The sequence below is a fragment of the Homo sapiens genome, chromosome X (assembly GCF_000001405.40).
Source record: "Homo sapiens chromosome X, GRCh38.p14 Primary Assembly".
Lineage (NCBI taxonomy): Eukaryota > Metazoa > Chordata > Mammalia > Primates > Hominidae > Homo > Homo sapiens.
Genome location: NC_000023.11, coordinates 142,180,132 through 142,201,157, shown reverse-complemented (window position 1 = coordinate 142,201,157; position 21,026 = coordinate 142,180,132). Strand labels below are relative to the sequence as shown.

Below are 21,026 nucleotides of genomic sequence, written 5' to 3'. Positions count from 1 at the left end.
CATCTTGATTCATACTGTTCCTCTCTTCCCAGCCTGAGGAAGGCCTTTGCGTTTTAAGCTACACTTCTCTGCACACTTGCTATCATCTCTCAGATGACATAAAGATGAACCCTGTGTCCAAGGTATTCAGGTAGTCTGGGAGAAGAATGGTGACAATGAGAATAAATACAATTTGGGGATCATTGTGGGCTTTGTTTACCTGCTCCTATTCTGAGCCCTAGGTTTCTTGAGAGCTGACTGTCCAGCCTCAGCACTTTCCCACTTAACAGCATCCTCCTTCTGATCTCTCCTGTGTGCTCTCTTGAGTAACTCTGGAACCTGTCCTGCTGACCAGCTCGTCCCTACAATCTCTCTGTGAAGGCTGTGCGCCGCTTCCAGTGAACAGCCCAGAATCGCAGTCCTTCCCCTGACATAGACGCCTCCTCATCCCTGCAGAAGTTCCCTGACTGATCCATCCCTCCCTGCCGGCTCCTGTGTGATAAAAGTAATTCGATGTAAATTTTCAGTTTGGATAGTGACAATTCCATATCTATTCTGGGCATCTTCAAACACTCTCAAAATACTCCCACATAGGGTGGTGAGTAGAATCTGATTTGCCACATAATATACTGATTCTAGACATGTAATCCTAGGGTAAGAGAGTTTTTGAGATCATCCTAATATTTGATATTTGTATTAGGATTTTAATATATGATATTTGTAGTAACATTGTTTGAAACAGGCCACTGAAGAGATACACAGATGAATGAGCTATACTAGGTGGTCAAAAGCCAAAGCTTCCTTCATAAACTTGGTATATGAGATGAGACTATGGGAATCACTTTGTAAATAAATGACAAGGAGTTGAATTTCTGAAAAATAGAAAAATAACAAAATCCTGAATACTGCCTAGGAGGTGACAATGGTTCCTTGGCTAGCTCTGATGAGCAAAGGAAACAATGGTTGACCATCTTTCCATTGTCCTTTGCATACCTGCCGCACAGGAAAATCCTGGTTTGCAGTGCGCCACAGGCACATGTGCAGTTGTTCAAGAATGTTCAGTTATATGAAGGGTAGCAGAGGCTCTCAGGGTAGGATATACACCAAAAGGCATGAGAGGATTCTCAGCCTAAAGAAATCATGTTTGTTATAAAAAGGACAGTGCAGTAAAGTGCTGAGAGAATAAGGTTGACCTCCTTGCCAAGACTTACAGAATTGTTTTAAAACCTATTGTTGTAATGCTTTCTTTGAAACCGCCAATCACCTAGTAGGTGCAATAAAAAGGGGAACATTTCAAGGCAATGCTGGCTTTCTCATAAACAATTCCAAGAAATTAAAAGACTTACTGTCATAAATTATAATAGGTGCTTTTAATTGCGCACCATAATGGCTTATGTGAGACATTACAATTGCCAATCTCCTTCTTGTCTAACTTGTCTTCCTGATTGGTTCATTTGCAATTAGACAGAAGCCAGTGTATCCTTCCAATGCTTTTGTTTCTTTTCAGCAGTTAACATCTGTTATGATGTAAAGCTACAAGTTGAAAGCAGCTAGGATACCTGGGTAATGTGAGAGCCAAGACTCACTGTGTATTAGTTTATTATACCATAACAACATACCACAGACTGGGTGACTTAAACAACACCCATGTATTTTCTCACATTTCTGGAGGCTAAAAATCCAACAACAAGATTTTTGCCAGTTGATTTCTTCTGTGGCCTCTCCTTGACTTGCAGATGGCCACTTTCTCACTGAATTTTTACATGGTTGTCCCTTGGTCTGTGTGTCTGTATCCTAATCGCCTCTTCTTATGAGGACACCTACCAGTAATATTGAATAAGACTCTAGTAATAAGACCTCATTTTAACTTAATTACCTCTTCAAAGGCTCTGTCTCCAAATACAGTGACATTCTGAGGTACTGGGGGTTTAAGACTTGGATATATGCCTTTGGAGGGAGAGGTGGAACTCAGCCCATAACACGCTGTCAACTAAAATCGGAATTTAAACATGTTAGGCTATGTAAATTTCAGGAAATTTTTTCATTTCATCAGCTTACTATTACTTTATCTGACTACTACACCACTACTCTTCCTTTTCTTAGGCTTACTTTAATGCTTTTCTCACAAATAAATACTGCATATATTATTGTTGCAAAAAATTCTAAAAATACACAGAAACCACATTTCTTCCCTTTGTTAAGTTTCTCCAAGATTCAGCTCTTACTCAGAAGTTCGCACAATTAACAATGTGGTGTGTAAATTTTAGAAGCTGATTTCAAGATTTTAAATGACAGATGTGGTAATACAGAAACACACACACAGAGATTACATATATGTTAATATATGTGTGTCTATAAATATAACTATACATGGGTAATGATATACATATAGATATGTGAGTTACCTTTGCACTATCATAGGTTAAATTCCGTTTATATTAAAATGTGGCATTATTTGGAGATAGGATTATTTCAGAGGCAATCAAGTTAAAATGAGGTTATTAATGCTGGCCCTAATTAAATATCATGGGAGTCATTATTAAGAAGAGAAATTTGGACATAGAGATATGAGTAGAGGGATGACAATGTGAGCATGTATGGATTGAAGACAGCCATCTACAAGGCAAGGAGAGAGGCCCGGAAAACATTCTTCCCTCACAGCCCTCAGCAGGAACCAACCTTGTGAACGCCTTGCTCTTTGACTACCAGACTCCAAAACTATGAGACAATAAATGTCTGTTGTTTATGTCATCCAGGTTGAGGTACTTTGCTATGGCAGGCCTAACAAACCAATATACTCACTTATTCAAATGGATCCAAAATCTTTGCCTCACAGCACATATACATTTATCTTACTTTCGGACCTACTCCCTAGAATTCCCATTTATTTCTTGCATTAACACACTGAACAAATCTCCTCCTCATGAACACACATGTGCTTCTCTTTTGCAGCTATAATAAATACAATCAGCATATTTAAGCATAAATTCTGGGATAAATGCATACAATTACTTATAAGGAATGCATATTAATGTGAAAACTGAGTGAGTGTGAACAGAGTATGAATATTTTGTATTTTTTATAATGTTGAGGGCTTTCTCCCAAAATGTTTCACCAGTTAATTTCCTCACACATTTGTCCATGGGGAAATGATCCATTTTTACAAGCATTTTATCACAATGTTAAATGTTGGTCAAACTTATGGGTGCAAACACTAGGTGACCTTGGGTGTGATGAGGAATTTTTCAGATGAAACACTAAAAATACCAGCAATCTAAGATAAAGAGAAAAAATGGACTCTAATAAAATTAAATACTTCCACTGTGAAAAGATACTGCTAAGATAATGAAAAGACAAGCAAGAGAAAGGGATAAGTATTCTTTGATACATATATCTGATAAAAGATATGTATTTTAATATGCACAAAACTCTGAAAACCCAATCATAAGAAAACAGAAACCCAATTTAAAATGGGCAAAAAAAGTCTGAACAGGCACCCCACCAAAGAATAACTATATAGGGATGGAAAATAAGCATGTATAAGAAAACTGTTCAATGTCATATGGCATTAGAGAATTGCAAATTAAAGCACCTAGGAGATAGCACTCTACACCCAGGAGAATGGCTGAATTCCCAAACACTGAAACATCAAATGTTGACATGCATGTTGAACAACAGGAACTTTCAGGCACTGTTAGTGAGATAGACCTGGAGGAATCGTGAATGCATATTGCTAAGTGAAAGAAGAATAGCTAAAAAGGAGACGTAATGTATGATTCCACTCATACAATATTGTTGAACAGGCAACTATGAATATCAGTAGTTTCCACGGGCTGATGGGTTGGGGGTAGGACATGGGGGATTGATAAATAGGTGGAGTACGCAGGAGATTTAGGATGGTGAAACAACTCTGTATGATACTGGAATCATGAATACTTGCCATTACACACGTATCAAAACGTATAGCATCCCCAATGTTGAGTGAGTCCTGATGTAAACTGTGGACTTTACTTAATAATGAGGCATCAGTGGAGGTCAAATCAACTGTAACAAACATGCCATAATAATACAAAATGTAAATAATAGGAGACTGTGTGTGTGTGTGTGTGTGTGTGTGTGTGTGTGTGCGCGCGCGCGCGTGCGTGCACACATGGGGCAGGGCAGGAGGATGGTGTAGATATGTAGGAATTCTCTGTACTTTTGAAGAGGTTTTCTCTTTGTATTTTTGGATTAACAATGCTGTAAAAATGAAGTCTATTCGTTTTTTAAAAGATGCAAATGATTTGAACAGACATTTTACCCAAGAGGGTACACCCATTGCAAAGAGGCATATAACGTCATTTGTCATTAGGGAGATGCAAACAAAAAACAAAAAAAATTGGAATGTATACTTATTTGAATGACTGCAATCTGACAATCTAAAATGCCAAATGTAAGAGAGGATATGGAACAACGGGAATTCTCACTCCTTGCTAGTTGTGATGAAAAATGATACAGCCACACTTTTAAACTCATATTTTATGGACTTATTCATATGACAAATTGTGAAGGTTAAAACAATGTGAACTGAAAAGAGTGCATAGTTACTAGGAGCTGTGGAGAAATGTAGTGACTGACCTCAAACCGGATGCACATGGGACTTTGAGGGTGATGGAACTGGTCAGTATGATACTTGGGAGGTAGATGTAGGACTCAATGCATTTGCCAAAACACATATAACTTCACATCATAGTTAAATCTGATATGTGTATATTAAAAAAATAATCACGAATTGGATTTTTAAAAGGATCCCGGGCTGCTGAACAGATGATGGGTTTTTCTGGGACAAGAATAAGAAAAGAAGCAACAATAAGGAAGCCTTTGACATAGGCTAGGTGAGAGCTGATATTAACTTCACACACAGCAGTAAAGTGGAAGGATTTGTAATGGATTTTAGAAGAAAGGTTGCTGTCTGGACAGAAGAGGGAGGGAGTACAGGCCCTGGGAGGCCCATTCCCACTGTGGATGGATGCGATTCTCCCTCTCTTCTACCTTGCAGGTCTTAGGGATGGGAGGGGCTTATTCAGAGGTGAAAGACTCAGATGGCCAGAGGCAGGCAGCCCAGGCAGTTTCAGGAGTCCAGGCGCAGCCCCTAGCAAAGTTGGAAGGGAATGCCATGGATGACAGTGCCCCTCCCCTGTCCCTGTGCCTGCAGCCAGCTCTGGAGGACATCAGGGATGCCAGATGTACAACTTTCTGACTTCCATTTTAGGGGTCAGCCAGAGGGGACTATTTCTCAGAGGAGGGCAGCTTCAGTCAAGCAGAGGGAGGAATCCCAGGGCTGGCCATTCAACGAGAAGAGAACTCTGTGGAAGGACAGTGACCTCCCACCACGAAGCACCCGGCACTACTCACCTACTTCCAGTTTCCGAGTCTGGGGCTCTGCCTGCCATCTGTGCCCCGAGGTGCTGTCTCACATCCTCCTACAGGTTCCTAGGGAACAAACCCCTTATGAAGACAGGACACCTGTGAGGCCCTAGAGCACCACCTTAAGAGAAGAAGAGCTGTAAGTTGGCCTTTGTCAGAGCCATCATGGGTGAGTTTCTCAGCTGAGGCCACTCATACTGTCCCTCCCTCCCTCATGCCTCTGGGATCCCATCCTCCCCATCCCTGCTCAAAGGATGCTACTTCTGAACAAGAGTCGTCACACCTCTCTTCCCAATCCTTCCCCGCCTCAACTTTGAGCAAGACTTCCAGACCGCAATTCTGATACAGGTCTTGGTAGAATCTGCACAGGATTCCACAGAAGAGGAGGAGGAGGAAGCCTCCTCCATTTCCTCTTCCTCTTTCCACTTTTTATTCCCCTCCTGCTCTTCCTCCTCCTCCTCTTCCTCATTCTCTACTCTGATTCTGGATGCTCCAGAGGACAAGGACATGCCTGCTGCTGGGTTTCCAATTCTTCCCCAGAGTGCTCCCAGGATTCCTCTTCATGATCCTACCCAGAGACCTCTGAGCTCCTGCTCTTTCTCCTCTTTGTGAGGCCCATTGGATGAGGAGTCCAGCAGGCAAAAAGTGGAGGATGCAGCTACATGGCATGCCTTGTCAGACAGTGAATCCTTGCTCACATATGCACTGGATGAAAAGGTGCCTGAGTTGGTGCAGTTTCTTCTCCTCAATTATCAAATAAAGGAGCCTGTCACAAAGGCTGAGATGCTGACGACTGTCATCAAGAAGTATAAGGACTGCTTTCCTGTGATCTTCAGGAAAGCTCATGAGTTCATGGAACTAATGTTTGGCATTGCCCTGACTGAGATGGACACCAACAACCACTCCTATGTCTTTGAAAACACAGTAGAACTCTGCGACCAAGGGAGGCTGAGTGATGGCCAGGGAATGTCCAAGAACCACCTCCTAATTCTTATTCTGAGTGTGGTCTTCATAAAGGGCAGCTGTGCCTCTGAGAAGGTCATTTGGGAAGTGCTGAATTCGATAGGGGTGTATGCTGGGAGGGAGCCCTTCATTTATGGGAAGCCCAGGGAGCTCCTCACTATAGATTGGGTGCAGAGAAAGTATCTGGAGTACCGGGAGGTGCCCTACAATGCTCGTCCAGAGTATGAATTATTGTGAGGTCTAAGAGCCCATTCAGAAATCAGCAAGACGAAAGTCCTAGAGTGTTTAGGCAGCTAGACAGTACCATTGCTAGTTCCTTTCCATCCTGGTACATGGATGCTTTGAAAGATGTGGAAGGCAGAGCCCAGGCCGTCATTGACACCACAGATGAGGCTACTTCCATGGCCCATGCAAGCCCACTATCATGTCCACCAACTTCTGTCCTGAGTCAAGTCTGAGGCAGATTCCCCCTCTGTGTTTGAAGAGGGCAGTCAAGGTTCTAGGCAGGGGAGGACGAGAGTGGAGCTGGAGGGACCACAGTGTTCTTTGTGTTCCTGTTTCATATGAGTGACTTAGAATTTAACATTTTGTGTGTGTGGGCGGGGGGGGGGGGGCAGTATTTTTCAAATGCTTCCCCTTTTGGTTGGCTTAATTCACTTCAGAATCTTAGTTCATGAAAATCGTCACACATGTACTGCTGTTTATCTGGTTTAAGAGTAAGGATTTCATAGTTTGTAAGGAAAAAAATTGAAAACCTGTCTTATGATCTGGAACAGTAGAATGTGGTGTCGGGATTGGATTGGAATTTTCTTTGAAATGTGAAAGAACTCCGTATTTAAATCATGGAACAAAATAAAGGATTGTTAATTTTTGACATTCCTCATCCTCCTTATTGTGTTGTTCTAGACAATTAAAGCTATATATCTGGGTTTGTTTGGCTTAATCAAGAAAGTAGCATAATTTAATTTTTTTTGTTTTGTTTTTTTGTTTTTTTTTTGAGACGGAGTCTGGCTCTGTCGCCTAGGCTGGCGTGCAGTGGCGCGATCTCGGCTCACTGCAAGCTCCGCCTCCCGGGTTCACGCCATTCTCCTGCCGCAGCCTCCAGAGTAGCTGGGGCTACAGGCGCCCGCCAACACGCCCGGCTATTTTTTTTGTATTTTTAGTAGAGACGGGGTTTCACCGTGTTAGCCAGGATGGTCTCGATCTCCTAACCTCGTGATCTGCCCGTCTCGGCCTCCCAAAGTGCTAGGATTACAGGCGTGAGCCACGGCGCCTGGCCGAATTTAAATCTCTAATAAATAAAAGCACCACTGACTCCTTCACTTGCTGAACGTTACTTCAGCATTTGCTTGTGGAAAGCACTGTTCTTAGTGGGGATACTATCAAAAAAAGGTTTATTCCTACCATAACACGGTAAAGTCTAGGTTCAGAAGCCATATCAGGAAGGGTAAGATTTTCTCTATGATCTAAAGAATGAGTTTAAACAGTGGGGACATGAGACTTTAGTTGGGGCCTTCAAGTAAAAAGTCCCTGAGCTAAGGCAGTTTGGGGCTTCAGGAAACTGCAGGTGATTCTGTGAGGGCTGATTGTCATGAAGCTGGGTGGTGGCAGGGCCCAGACCCTCAGAAGGTGAGAGAAAAGCCTGGAATGGAAAACTACTTCTGTAGTTCCCTCTGGGTGGAGGATGAAGCAGAGAGGAGTCTCCACCTGGGGAAGTCATGGAAGGTGTTCTGTGGCTCTCTAACTGGTGAGCCTGAACACAGTGCAAGGACTAGGTGATTGATACCCATCATCTGCAAGTTTTCCTGAGAAATGTGGTGATAATTCCTTGATGTGGTGCTCAGAAGCCTCTAGGCTGGCACTCATTTGCCAGGCCTGGGAGAGCCCAAGCCCATTCCATTGACAGGACTTTTAGTTGGGTTCTTTTGAATGTAATGTGGACAAGTCTAAGCAAGGTCTAGATTTCTCGTGGAACTTAAATAAAACTAGTGGTTTGGATGGATGATCAGTGGGGAAGGTGAAAAGGAGTTGGTCCTTAACTTAAAATCTATAATCTTTGAGTTGCATTCAGTTGTGGAAGCCTCTCCTTTCTTGAATGATACAATATATCCTTTTAGAAAGAAAATGCCCTGAGGTATATTTATGAAGCCAAACTTTTGGTTCAGTTTATATTCCTTGACATATTCAGCTAGATGTTCTATGAGACGTTTTGGATAATGAAAACAAGAGCTGAATTTTTCTCAAAAGACAGTAGTAGACTTTGGGGTTATAATCATATTGATGACAACTGCCATTTATTAAAATTCCAAGGTATGCCAAGCTGTGTGCCAGGTGTTTTGCTCACACTACATACATTCCAGCCATTCTGCAGAACAGGGATTATCAAACCCATTTTACAGACGAAGAAGCTGAGGTTTATAGTTCATGACAAATTCCCGAAGATCACGTGATGATCACATGATTAGAAAGTGACTGGGCTGGGACTTGAGTTCTGAATTCATCTAGACCCACACTGTCCCCACTCCTCTCAGCCTGAGCATAGCCTTCTTCCTGTTAAGTCACTTCTCTTCACACTTCCTAATGTCTTTCAGGTAACATAAAGGAGAAACCTGTGACAAAGTATTTAGATAGGCCTAGAGAAGAAAGGTGACAATGAGAATCAATACCTTTCAAGGATCGTTTTGGGCTTTCTTTACATAAATTCTTCCTGTTATGAGCCCTAGGTTTCTTGAGAGCTGACTCTGTCTGGGTGGCAGTACTTTTGTCCAGCCGCAGGGCTTTCCCACCTTACAACACCCTCCATTTGATCTCCCCTGGGCGCTCTCCTGTGTAACTCTGGACCCTGGCCTGCTGAGTAACTTCTCACTGTGGTCTCGCACTCTGAAGCCTGTGCCCAGCCCTCAGTGCAAGAGCCCAGAGACATCTGCCCTTCCCCTGACATAGACCACTGTTTGTCACTGGAGAAGTTCCCTGACCGATCCATCCCTCCCGCTGGCTCCTCTGTGATAACGGCCCTCGATGTGAATATCCACTTTGGATAGTGACATTTCCATACCTACGCTGGGCATCTTCAACACACTCTCCACATATTTCCAAATAGGCCGCAGAGTAAAATCTGATTGTCACATAACATATGGGGTTTAGGGATGTAATCCTAAGGTCAGATATAGCCTATTTGAAATCTTCCTAATACTTGATACTTGTAGTATGATTTTAATGAGATGCATTATCTGAAACAGGGCACTGAACACAAACAGAGATGAATAAGTTTGTGTAGATGATCAAATGCCAATCTTTCCTTCATAAACTTTGTAGGTGAGGAAAGGCTATAGACATCGCTTTCTAAATGATCTACAGGAAGGTGAATTTCTAAAAAAACAAAACGGTAACAAAATCTTGAAGACTGCCTAGGAGGTGACAAGGGTACTTTGGGGGACATGCCATCTCTGATGAGAAATAAACAATAATTAAACATCCTTCCACTGTCTCTCGTCTGTGTACCTGCCCCACAGGAAAATCGTGGCTTGCAGTGAGCCACAGGCACGTGTATAGCTGTTCAGGAATGTTCCGTCATATGGAGGGTAGCAGAGGCTCACAGGGTAGGTTATTTTTCACACACCAAAAATATGAGAGAATTCTCAGTCTAAAGAAATTATATAGGTTATTAAAAGGACAGTGCCAAGTGATATTGAGGGATTAAGGTTGACCCTCCCTGCAAAGACTTACAGAATTGTCTTAAAACTGGATGTAATCCTGAATTTGAAACCACCAGTCACCTCGTAGGTGCAAGAAAAAGTTGGAAGATTTCAAGGCTATGCGGACATTCCCAGAAACAATTCCAAGACATGAAGAGAATTACTGTCCTCAAGTATAATAGTTGCTTTTCTTTGAGCACCGTAATGACATATGGGAGAGACTACAAGTGCCCATCTCCACCTTGTCTAGCTCGCCTTCCTGGCGGGTTCATTTGTAGTTAGACAGAAGCCAGTGCATCATTCCCATGCTTTCGTTTCTGTTCAGCGCTAAACATCTGTTGTGACATGGAGGGGCAAGGTGAAAGCAGCTTGGATTGTTGGCTGAGGGGAAAGTGAGGGCCTGCTGTGGATTAGTTTATTATGCCATAACAATACCACAGACTGGGTGACTTAAACAATAGAATTGTATTTTCTCCCATTTCTGGAGGCTAAATATCTAAGATCAAGATGTGGGCCAGTTTGATTTCTTCCCTGGCCTCCCCGTGGCTTGCTGATGACCACTTTCTCACTGAATTCTGACATGGATGTTCTTTGGTCTGTGTGTCGGTATCTTAATCTGCTCTTTTATGAGAACACCAGTCATCTTGAATATGATCCTAATCATAAGATCTCATTTTACCTTAGCTGCCTCTTCAAAGGTTCTGTCTCCAAATACAGTGATATTCTGCAGTACTGGGGGTTGAGGCTTGGATATATGAACTCGGAAAGGGGCGCAATTCAGCCCATAACACCCTGCCAACTTAAATCAGAATTTATGTGCACAAAAATCAACTCGTGTGAAGCCATTTAACTTTCAGGGAGTTTTTTCTTTTCCATCAGGTTACTGTTAATGTGACTACTGGAGTGCTCCTCTTCCTTTTCTTAGGGTCATTTCAGTATTTGACTTAAAAGTAAATAGTGCATGTATTTTTGTTGCAAAAAAATTCTAAAAAGACATAGAAATTGCATTGCTTTCTTTACAAAGTTCCTCCAAAACTCAGCCTCCTACTCAGAAATTTCCACAAGTAACAATGTGGCCGTGTAAATTTTAAAATATGATTTTCGATTTCAGGCTTTCATAAAGATAGATGTGCTATTTTATATATACACATATATGTACATATATACACACATGTGTAATGATATAATGATATACATATAGATCTGCCACTTACCTCTGCCACTATAATAGATTCAATTGCCTCTTCCACAAAATTCTACACTGAAATTAAAATGTGGCATTGATTTCGAGATAGGATTATTTCAAAGGCAATCAAGTTAAAATGAGGTTATTAATGCTGGCCGTATTGGAAGCCAGTATAAAAAGGGGATATTTGGACATAGAGATATGAGTATGGAGATGACAATGTGAGTAGACATGGAGGGAAGACAGCTAGGTACAAGGCAATGAGAGAGGCCTGGAAAGCATCCCCCAATCACAGCCTCATAAGGAATCAATCTTGTGTACACCTTGCTCTTGGGCTACCAGATTCCAAAACTGTGAGACAATGAAATTCTGTTGTTTTGTCATCCAGGTTGTGGTACTTTGCTATTGCAACCCTAACATGCCATGATACTCACTTATTAAAATGTATCCAGCATCTTTCCATGTCAGCACATAGAGATCTGCCTTACTTTGGGGACTTTTCCCGAGAATGCCAATTTATTTCTGTGCATTAACAAACTGAACCAACCTCCTCCTGATGAACACATATTTGCTTTTTCTTTGTGGCTAAAATTAGTATAAATATAATCAATATATTTGAGCATAAATTCTGGGACAAATGCATAAAATTCCTTATAAGGAATACATTTCAATGTAGAAGTTGTGTAGAAGTGAACAGGGTATGAATAATTTTATACTTTTTCAAATGTTGCTGACTCTTTCCACCAAAGGTCTCACCAATTAGTTTCCCTACACATTTGTTGATGTGGAAATGATTCATTTGTTGACAAACATATTTTATCAGAATTTTAAACCTTACTGAAACTTATGGGTGAAAGTCCTAGGGGAGTTTGGTTTTGGTAATGACATTTTCAGATGCATCACCAAAATTTTGGTCAAACTTATAGGTGCAAACCCTAGTTGACCTTAAGTTTGGTGGTGACTTTTTCAGATGCAACACCAAAAGTGCCAACATCTAAGAAAAGAGATATAAATTGGACTTCATTAAAATTAACAACTTCTACTCTAAAAGACTGCTAAGAGAAAAGAAAGACAGAGACTGGGATAAATGTTTTCTGAAACACATAACTGATAAAAGATATATATTTAAATATGCACAAAATGCTAAAACCCAATCATAAGAAAACAGAAAACCTAATTGAAAATGGCCAAAAATTCTAAACAGGTACCCCACCAAAGATATATGTGAATAGAAAGTAATCGGATACAACTGTCCAATTTCTGATATGGTTTGGCTCTGTGTCCCCACCGAAATCTGAACTCAAATTTTCATCCCCACATGTCCAGGGAGGGACATGATTGGATCATGGGGGCAGTTTCACCCATGCTGTTCCCCTTGTAGTGAGTGAGTTCTCACGAGATCTGATTGTTTTGTATGTGTTTCGAAGTTCCTCCTTCGTGCTTCTTCCTCCTGCCACCTTGAGAAAAAGGTACCTGCTTCCCCTTCGCATTCCACCATGATCATAAGTTTCCTGAAGCCTCCCGCAGCCGTGTGGAACTGGGAGTCAACTAAACCTCTTTCTTTTATAAATTATTCAGTCTCAGGCATTTCTTTATAGCCATGTGGAAACAGAATAATACAATGACATATATCATTAAAGAATCGCAAATTGAAACAACTAAGATATAACACTACAGACCCAGAAGAGTGGCTGAAACCCAAAACACTGAACCAACAAGTGTTCACACGTGTGTTGAGCAACAGGAACTTTCAATCATTGTTAGTGGGACAGACCTGAAGGAATTGTGAAAGCCTATTGCTAAGTGAAAGAAGAAAATATAAAAAGGCGACATAATATATGATTCCGGTCATACGATATTCTGGAACAGGCAAGATGAATACACTAAAAATACTAGTGGTTTCCGAGGGCTGAGGGGTTGGAGTTGAGGAATGGAGGATTAATCAATAGGTGGAGTACACAGGAGATTTAGGTTGGTGAAACAATTCTGTATGATACTGTAATGATGAATACTTGCCATTGCACACTCATCAAAAACCATAGCATCCACAATGTGGAATGAGTCCTGATGTAAACTGTGGAATTTACTTACTAAATAGGTATCAATACAGATCCATCAGTTGTAGCAAACATGCTATAATAATACAAATTGTAAATAATAGGAGACACTGTGTGTGTGTGTGTTCATGTGTGTGTGTGTGGGTGTGTGTGCGTGTGAGGCAGAGCAGGGAGGGTGGTGTAGATCTGTGGGAACTCTAATTTTGACGAAGTTTTCTCTCTGTATTTTTGGATTAGCAATGCTCTAAAAATGAAGCCTATTTTTTTAAAAAAAATGTAAATAATTTGAACAAACACTTTACCAAAGAGAATATACATATTGGAAAGAGGCATGTAATGTCATTTGTCATTAGGGAGATGCAAACAAAAACCAAAGAAGTTTGCAATACACACTTATTACAATGGCTAAAATCCAACAGTCTAAAATACCCAATGTAAGAGAGGATATGGAACAACAGGAATTCTCATTCCTTGCTAGTTGTGATGAAAACTGATACAGCTGCACTTTTAAATCAGTATTTTATGCACCTCCTCTTATGACATGGTGAAAGCTAAAAGTATAGGAACTGAAAGAAGAACATAGTTGCCAGGGGCTTTGCAGAAGTGCAGTGACTGACCTCAAATGGGATGCACAGGAGAATTTTAAGTTGATCATACTGGTCATTACGATACTCGGGTGGTACATATGGGATGCCATGCATTCGCCAAAATACGTATAACTTCACAAAATAGTTACATTTGATGTGTGTTTTTGAAAAAACATTTTAACTTTTACTTTCAGAGATAGAAGTGCAGGTGTGTTACATAGGTAAATTGTGTCATGGGGGTTTCTTGTACAGATTATTTTACCACCCATCTATTAAGCCTAGTACCCATTTGTTATTTTTCCTGATCCTCTCCCTCCTCCCACTCTCCACCCTCTGCAAGGCCCCAATGTGTGTTGCTCCCTTCTATGTGTCCATGTGTTCTCCTCTCTAGCTCCCACTTATAAGTGAGAACACATAGTATTTGGTTTTCTGTTACTGTGTTAGTTCACTTAGAATAATGGCCTCTAGCTCCATCCATGCCATGGATTGGGATTTTTTTTAAGTAGCAACAATAAAGAAGACTTTAACCTAGTCTAGCTGAGAGAGAATGTTAACATCACATACAGCAGTAGTAATGGAGATTGAAAAAGTGGAAGGATTTGGAATGGATTTTAGAGGTGGAAGGAAAAAAAGTTGCTGTTGGATTGGATTTGGGATAAGATGAAGGGAGAAATCAAGCACAAAAGTAAAAATTGTGCCCCTTTGATGGTAACAAATATCAAATGAAGACATACTTTGGTTTTTCAATTTTTTGACAGCCTTCATGTGTATTTTGTAATCACTCTGACACATGCACAAACATTTCTTATTCCTTGAAATCTGGGAATGCCGTCCCCTCCTTCAACCTGGTGCCCAACAATTCTACATTCATGGCACCTATGGTAAACCTCCACTGTCAGTGGCAGCATGTTCAGTGAAGGCTGAATCTAAGTGAGAAATAGGAACTGAAGGTGAGTCATCTGGGGCATGTTTGGAGAAGGGGTGTGTTTACTCGTTTAAAAGGCCCCTGACACTCCCCACTGATTCAATTCCAAGAACATTAGTCCCTCTCTCTTCTGGAAGGGACACTTATTTCCAATACCAGGAGGTAAAAGGATAGGCTGCCATTTTCTTTTTACCATCCATAAGAAATGCTCCCTTCTTGGGACCTCAGAAGAAAAGCTCCATGAGGATAATTCCCAAGGACATGTGGGCCAGAGCTGGAGTTTACCCACCAGCTGCCTCCCAATCTGGGAGAAGAGCTTCCTTGTCTGTGGGTTTCCACCTTGAGTGCTGAGGTTTGATGATCCACCAATCCTGGCTGTGAGCAGAGGCCAACTGCCCCTGGGAAACGGCGACAAAGCTAAGGAAGGAAGTCAGCTCATGAACAGCTGAGTTGATCCTGACCATAGTGGGTGCAGAGAACCCCAATCCTCAGGGTAATCTCTGGCAAAGCCACAAATCAACCTTTTTTGAAATCTCAGGGCGCAAGAATCCTTCTGAGGGTCCTGTCAGGAGTAAGAGCATCTGAAAAGAAGTATGTGGATCTCTTATCCATGTGGAGAGGGAGATGGGCCTCTACTCCTATCATGTGAGCAACCTGGCACTGCCACTAAGTTAGTAAAGTGTTTGTGGATCTGGTCAGGGTGTCTGTCATCAACACAACAGCCCTCCATCAGGACTTTCTGGAATAGAACTGTTCTGGTTATATTTCTTGACTCACCAGAGTTCCAGAGGTCAGCAGGAGGATGGTTCAAGTAAGAGGGGGATAAATCCATCATTGTCCCAGGTAGCCTTCCCCCAGCTACTATTGAGATCTAAGTTCTACTCTCAAAAAGCACAGGCTTATGAAAGCAGCTAGACCTTCTATGGGTGAGACAAGGGGGAGAGAGGAGGTGCCATTTCCTGTGTTCCTCTTTGACTCATATCATCTCGCTCCTCTTGCTACTGAAGTGACCATTGACCTCAGAGTCTTTCAGTTCTTTCAACTCCAGCCTTACATAATCTATACAAAGACTTATTATTCTGTGCATTTCTGTGTTTTCAAAGTTATTATAATGAACATTTTAAAAGTAGGTTTTGAATTTCCCTGTAATTGCATTTTTGTATAATATGAAAAAGGGTTCCACTTACATTAAGGTTTTTTATATGGATATTTAGTTGTTCCACTGATACTTATTTCAACAAGACAGTCTCCAGTTCTAAAGCTGCAACACATTTTAATCAATTAAGCTTGCTTTTATACATGTTTTGTTGGTTTTGTTTTTCAGGACTTTCCATTCAGTTCCATTGGTCTATCTGTTAATCCATGCACCCAGACCTCCAACGCTTCATACAATAGCTCCTTTGTAATTCTTACTATCTGTTGGATGAATTGCACTTTCTCAAGAGTGTATTGACTATGCTTGGCGGTTTGCATGTCTTTACATTTTAGAATCAGGTGATTCATAGATGCCTTCACGTGCAAAGGCATTCGGTTGTTTTGATTTGGGATTACAATTATTCTATCGATTCCGTTTTAAGGAAAACTATTGAAACTTCATTCCCATGAATTTATTTTCTGTTCCTGTCGGTCTTCATTAATATTTTTAAATAACGTGTTAATGGTTTTTCTGTAATGTTTTAATTTTGTTGGTTAGTTTTTTTGAGGTACTTAATGTTTGGAATGATAGGTTAGAGGTTATATTTTCTTTATTTTCATATTCATTGTTGCTGCAAGAAAACAAAGTTTATTTTTCCCATGTTGATTTTATACTTAGGAAACTTATATATTTTCATCTATTGACAAGCTGGGTGGTATGCTTGTTGGTGGTGGTATTCTGCTCTTGCTGGTGGTATGCCCATTTGAGCATAGACTCTGCTGCTTCTGCCCCAGTGAAGCACTTCAGACAGCAACTCCCATCAGAGTGTCGTTGTCAGTGGACAAGGAACACCCCGGTGTCTCTAGCAGAGCAGTTGCTTTACATCACAGCGACAGAGAACAATGACATGGGCCTCGTATCAGTCCCCAAACGTTGAGCATACAGCCCAAGAGTACTGACCTGAGCTTTTGCCCATAACATCTTCTAGAAATGAAGCCTCTTGACAGAACCCACCACCGTCAAACACTCAAGGGCTTCAACGAGTATAAAAGAATAAAAAACCCATTCAAGGTCTAGTAACTTCAAATAGTAAAGGAACATCAGCCCACACAGATAAGAAAGAACCAGCACAAGAACTCTAGCAACTCCAAAAACCAGAGCATCTTCTTCCTTCCTCACTACCACACTAGTTCTCCAGCAATGGTTCTAAAGCAGGGTGAAATGGCCACAATGAGAGACGGAGAGTTTAGAATCTGGATAGGGACACAGATCATTGAGATTCAGGAGAAAGTCAAAACCAAATCCAAGGAATCTAAGGAATCCAATAAAATGACAGAAAAGCTGAAAGATGAAATCGCCATTTTAAGAAGGAACCAAGCAGAACAGATAAGGCTGAAAAACTTACTGAAGGAATCTCATAATACAACTAAAAGTAGGAACAACAGAATTAACCCAGCAGAGGAAAAATCTCTGAGCCTGAAAACTAGTTCTCTGAATCAACTCAGTCAGAAAAAAATTATATAGAAAAAAGAATATAAAAGAATGCCTCAAACCTCCAAGAAATTTGAGATTATGTAGTGAGACCAATCCTGCAACCTATTGGCATCGCTAAAAGACAGGGAGAAAGAACAAGCAACTTGGAAAACAAATTTGAAGGTATCATTCACAAAAATTACTCCACCCTTGTTGGATGGTCAACATTTAAATTCAGGAAATCCAGAGAATCCCTGTGAGATACTGTACAAGACAACCATCCCCAAGTCACATGGTCATCATATTCTCCAATGTCAAGATGAAAGAAAAAATATCAAAGGCAGCTAGAGAGAAAGAACAGGTCACCAACAAAAGGAATGTCATCAGAGTGGTCATCAGGGTGGATAAATGCCAGGTGATATTTATCCTGGTAAATATCAACACTACTCCCTGAGTAAATAATCCTTTACATAGTACTTACATATGTTTATGGGTTACATGAGGTATTTTGTTATAGGCTTGCTATGTGTAATAATCACATCAGGGTAAATGGGTGATCCATCAGCATAGACATTTATCCTTTGTGTTTCAAACAATCCAATTACACTCTTTCAGTTATTTCAAAAAGTACAATTAAATCATTTTGACTATGGTCACCCTGTTGTGATCTCAAATACTAGGTCTTATTGATTCTCTCTAACAGTTTTTTGTAAACATCAGCCATCCTCACTTCTCCCCCACATCCTGTACATTTCTCAGCCTCAGGTAACCATCCTTCCACACTCTATGTCCACAAATTCCACTGTTTTGATTTTTAGCTTCCACATATAAGCGAGAACATGTGAAGTTTGTCTTTCTGTGCCCGGCTTATTTCACTTATCATAATGACCTCCAGTGCCATCCATGTGGATGCAAATGACAGGGTCTCATTGCTTTTATGGCTGAATAGTACTCCAATGTGTATATGTAAATACAATTTCTTTATCCAGTCATCTGCTGATGGACACTTTGGTTGCTTCCTCATATTGGCTATTGTTAATCGTGCTGCAGTGAACATGGTTGTGCAGGTATCACTTCAGTGTACTGATTTCCTTCATTTTGGGTAAATACCAAGGAGTGGGATTACTGGATAGTATGGGAGTTTTGTTTTCATTTTTAGAAGAGTCTCCAAGCTGTTCTCCATAGTGGTTTTAGCAACGTGCATTCCCACCAACAGTATAAACAAACTGTGATACACCTATACAATGGATTACTATGCAGCCATAAGAAGAAAAGGCCTATCAGCCATGGAAAGACAGGGATGAACATAAAAAGCATGTTGCTAAGGGAAAGAAGTTAATCTGATACCATGGTTATAAATTACTCCTATTTCAGTTATCCGAGCTATGGTGTCCTTTTTATGTTAAGATTCCTGGCCAGGCGCGGTGGCTCATGCCTGTAATCCCAGCACTTTGGGAGGCTGAGGTAGGCGGATCACCAGAGGTCAGGAGTTCAAGACCAGCCTATTCAGTATGGTGAAACCCCGTCTCTACTAAAAATACAAAAAAAAAAAAAAATTAGCCAGCTGTGGTGGCATGCACCTGTAATCGCAGCCACTCCTGAGGCTGAGGCACAAGAATCGCTTGAACCCGGGAGGCGGAGGTTGTAGTGAGCCGAGATCACGCCATTACACTCCAACCTGGGCGATAGAGCGAGACTCCATCTTAAATAAATAAATAAATAAATAAAATAAAAAATAAATAAAAAGTAAAAAGATTCCTGCATGACAAGTTTGGATTGATCCAAGACGTCAATTATATTTGATACAATCTCATTCTTACATTGACTTTTTTGTTTGTGCACGTCCCCGATCAAAACACATAGGTTGTAACCTAATCCCCAATATTTGACATTTTTGTTATGGCAACCCAAACTGACTACCACACTCCTCTATATTCTCTGACTCTCTTTCTAGTACTCTCACTAGAAATTGGGCTTTTAGTACAGTCCATTATGCCATCCACCTGCTTTGTATGGGTCTGCCTCCCTGGCTAAAATAGTGAGAGCATATAAAGAGAAAAATAACAGCGAAGTTTTCTCCCGTACTTTTTCAAACAAAGGTCTTCTTGACAGAGGGAAGGATGTTCCTCACTCAGAGTTTTAGATGCCTGAGCAGCTGGTGCTAGTGCTCTCATTGGACGATTACACCTTCAGGAATGGGGTTGGCTTGCCTGGAGGCCAACCTTGAAGAAGAAAGGAATTTCTCATGTTCTCTTTGTCTTTTAGGAATCTCCTATCCTAGTTCTTCAAACACAAAAGTTTTTCTAGAAAAAATGAAAACATTAATTGCCTTAGAACACTTTCTGTCTCTGTATCATGTGCAATTCTTCAATTTTGTATGCCTTTAAGTCCAGGCTAGAAGACAGAGAAGGAAAAAAAGTAAAGGAAACTAACCACCCTATCAAAAAATTACTTTGAATTCTAGTCTCCTTACCTAATTATCCTGCTTCTATTTACAATTTTTACATAAAGTTTTTGCTTTAGGATAGTTTTAGATTCACAGAAAATTTACAAAATAATAACTTCAAGATCAAGATGTTGGCTGGTTTGATTTCTTCTCTGGCCTCTCTGTGGCTTGCAGACAGCCACTTTCTCACTGAATTCTTACATGGTTGTTCCTTGGTCTGTGTGTCTGTATCTTAATCTGCACTTCTTATGAGGATACCTGTTATATTGAATATGAACCTAAACTTAAGACCTCATTTTACCTTAATTACCTCTTCAAAGTTTCTGTCTTCAAATACAGTCACATTCTGGGATACTGAGTTTTAAGACTTGGATATATGAATTTTTGGGGTGAGTCACAATTCAGCCCATAACACCCTGCCAACTAAATCAGAATTTACGTGCCAAAAAATAAACTTGTCGTGTTAAGTCACATAAATTTCAAGGATTTTTCTTCTTGGTGTTCCATGAGCTTACTGATACTTTATCTTCCTACTGGACTGCTCCTCATGCTTTTCTTAGGCTTATTTCAATACTTTCCCTACAAATAAATACTGCATATATTTCTGATACAAAATTTAAAAAATAGGTAGAAATCACAATTCTCCCCTTTGGAAAGTTCCTCCAAAACTCATCCCCCTATTCAGAAGTCTCCACAATTAACCCTGTAGTGTTTAAATTTAAAAGCTGATTTAGAATTTTGAGAAAGATAGATGTGGTTTTTTAATATAATCTATACATATATGAGAATGCGTGTGTGTTTATAACTACACATGGGTAATAATATACATATAGGTCTGCCACTTCCTTTTCCACTATTATAGGTTCAGTTGCATCCCCGCTAAAATCTTACGTTGAAATTTACATGTGGCATTATTTGGAGACAGGATTACCTCAGAGGCAAGTAAGTTAAAAATGTGGTTATTAAAGAAGAGCTGGTACTATTCCAACTGAAATCATTCCAAAAAAATTGAAAAGGAGGAACGTCTCCCTAACTCGTTCTATGAGGCCAACACCATCCTCATACCAAAACCTGGCAGAGACAAAAAAAAAAAAAAAAAAAGAAAAGAAACATCAGGCCAATATCCTTAACAAACAGTGATGCAAAAATGCTCATCAAAATGCTGGCAAACCAT

The 21,026-nt window shown here is 40.5% G+C and overlaps 1 pseudogene; it reads left to right on the top strand.

The window, feature by feature from the left end:
- Positions 5,446 to 6,797, top strand: LOC100420228 (MAGE family member C3 pseudogene; annotated as a pseudogene).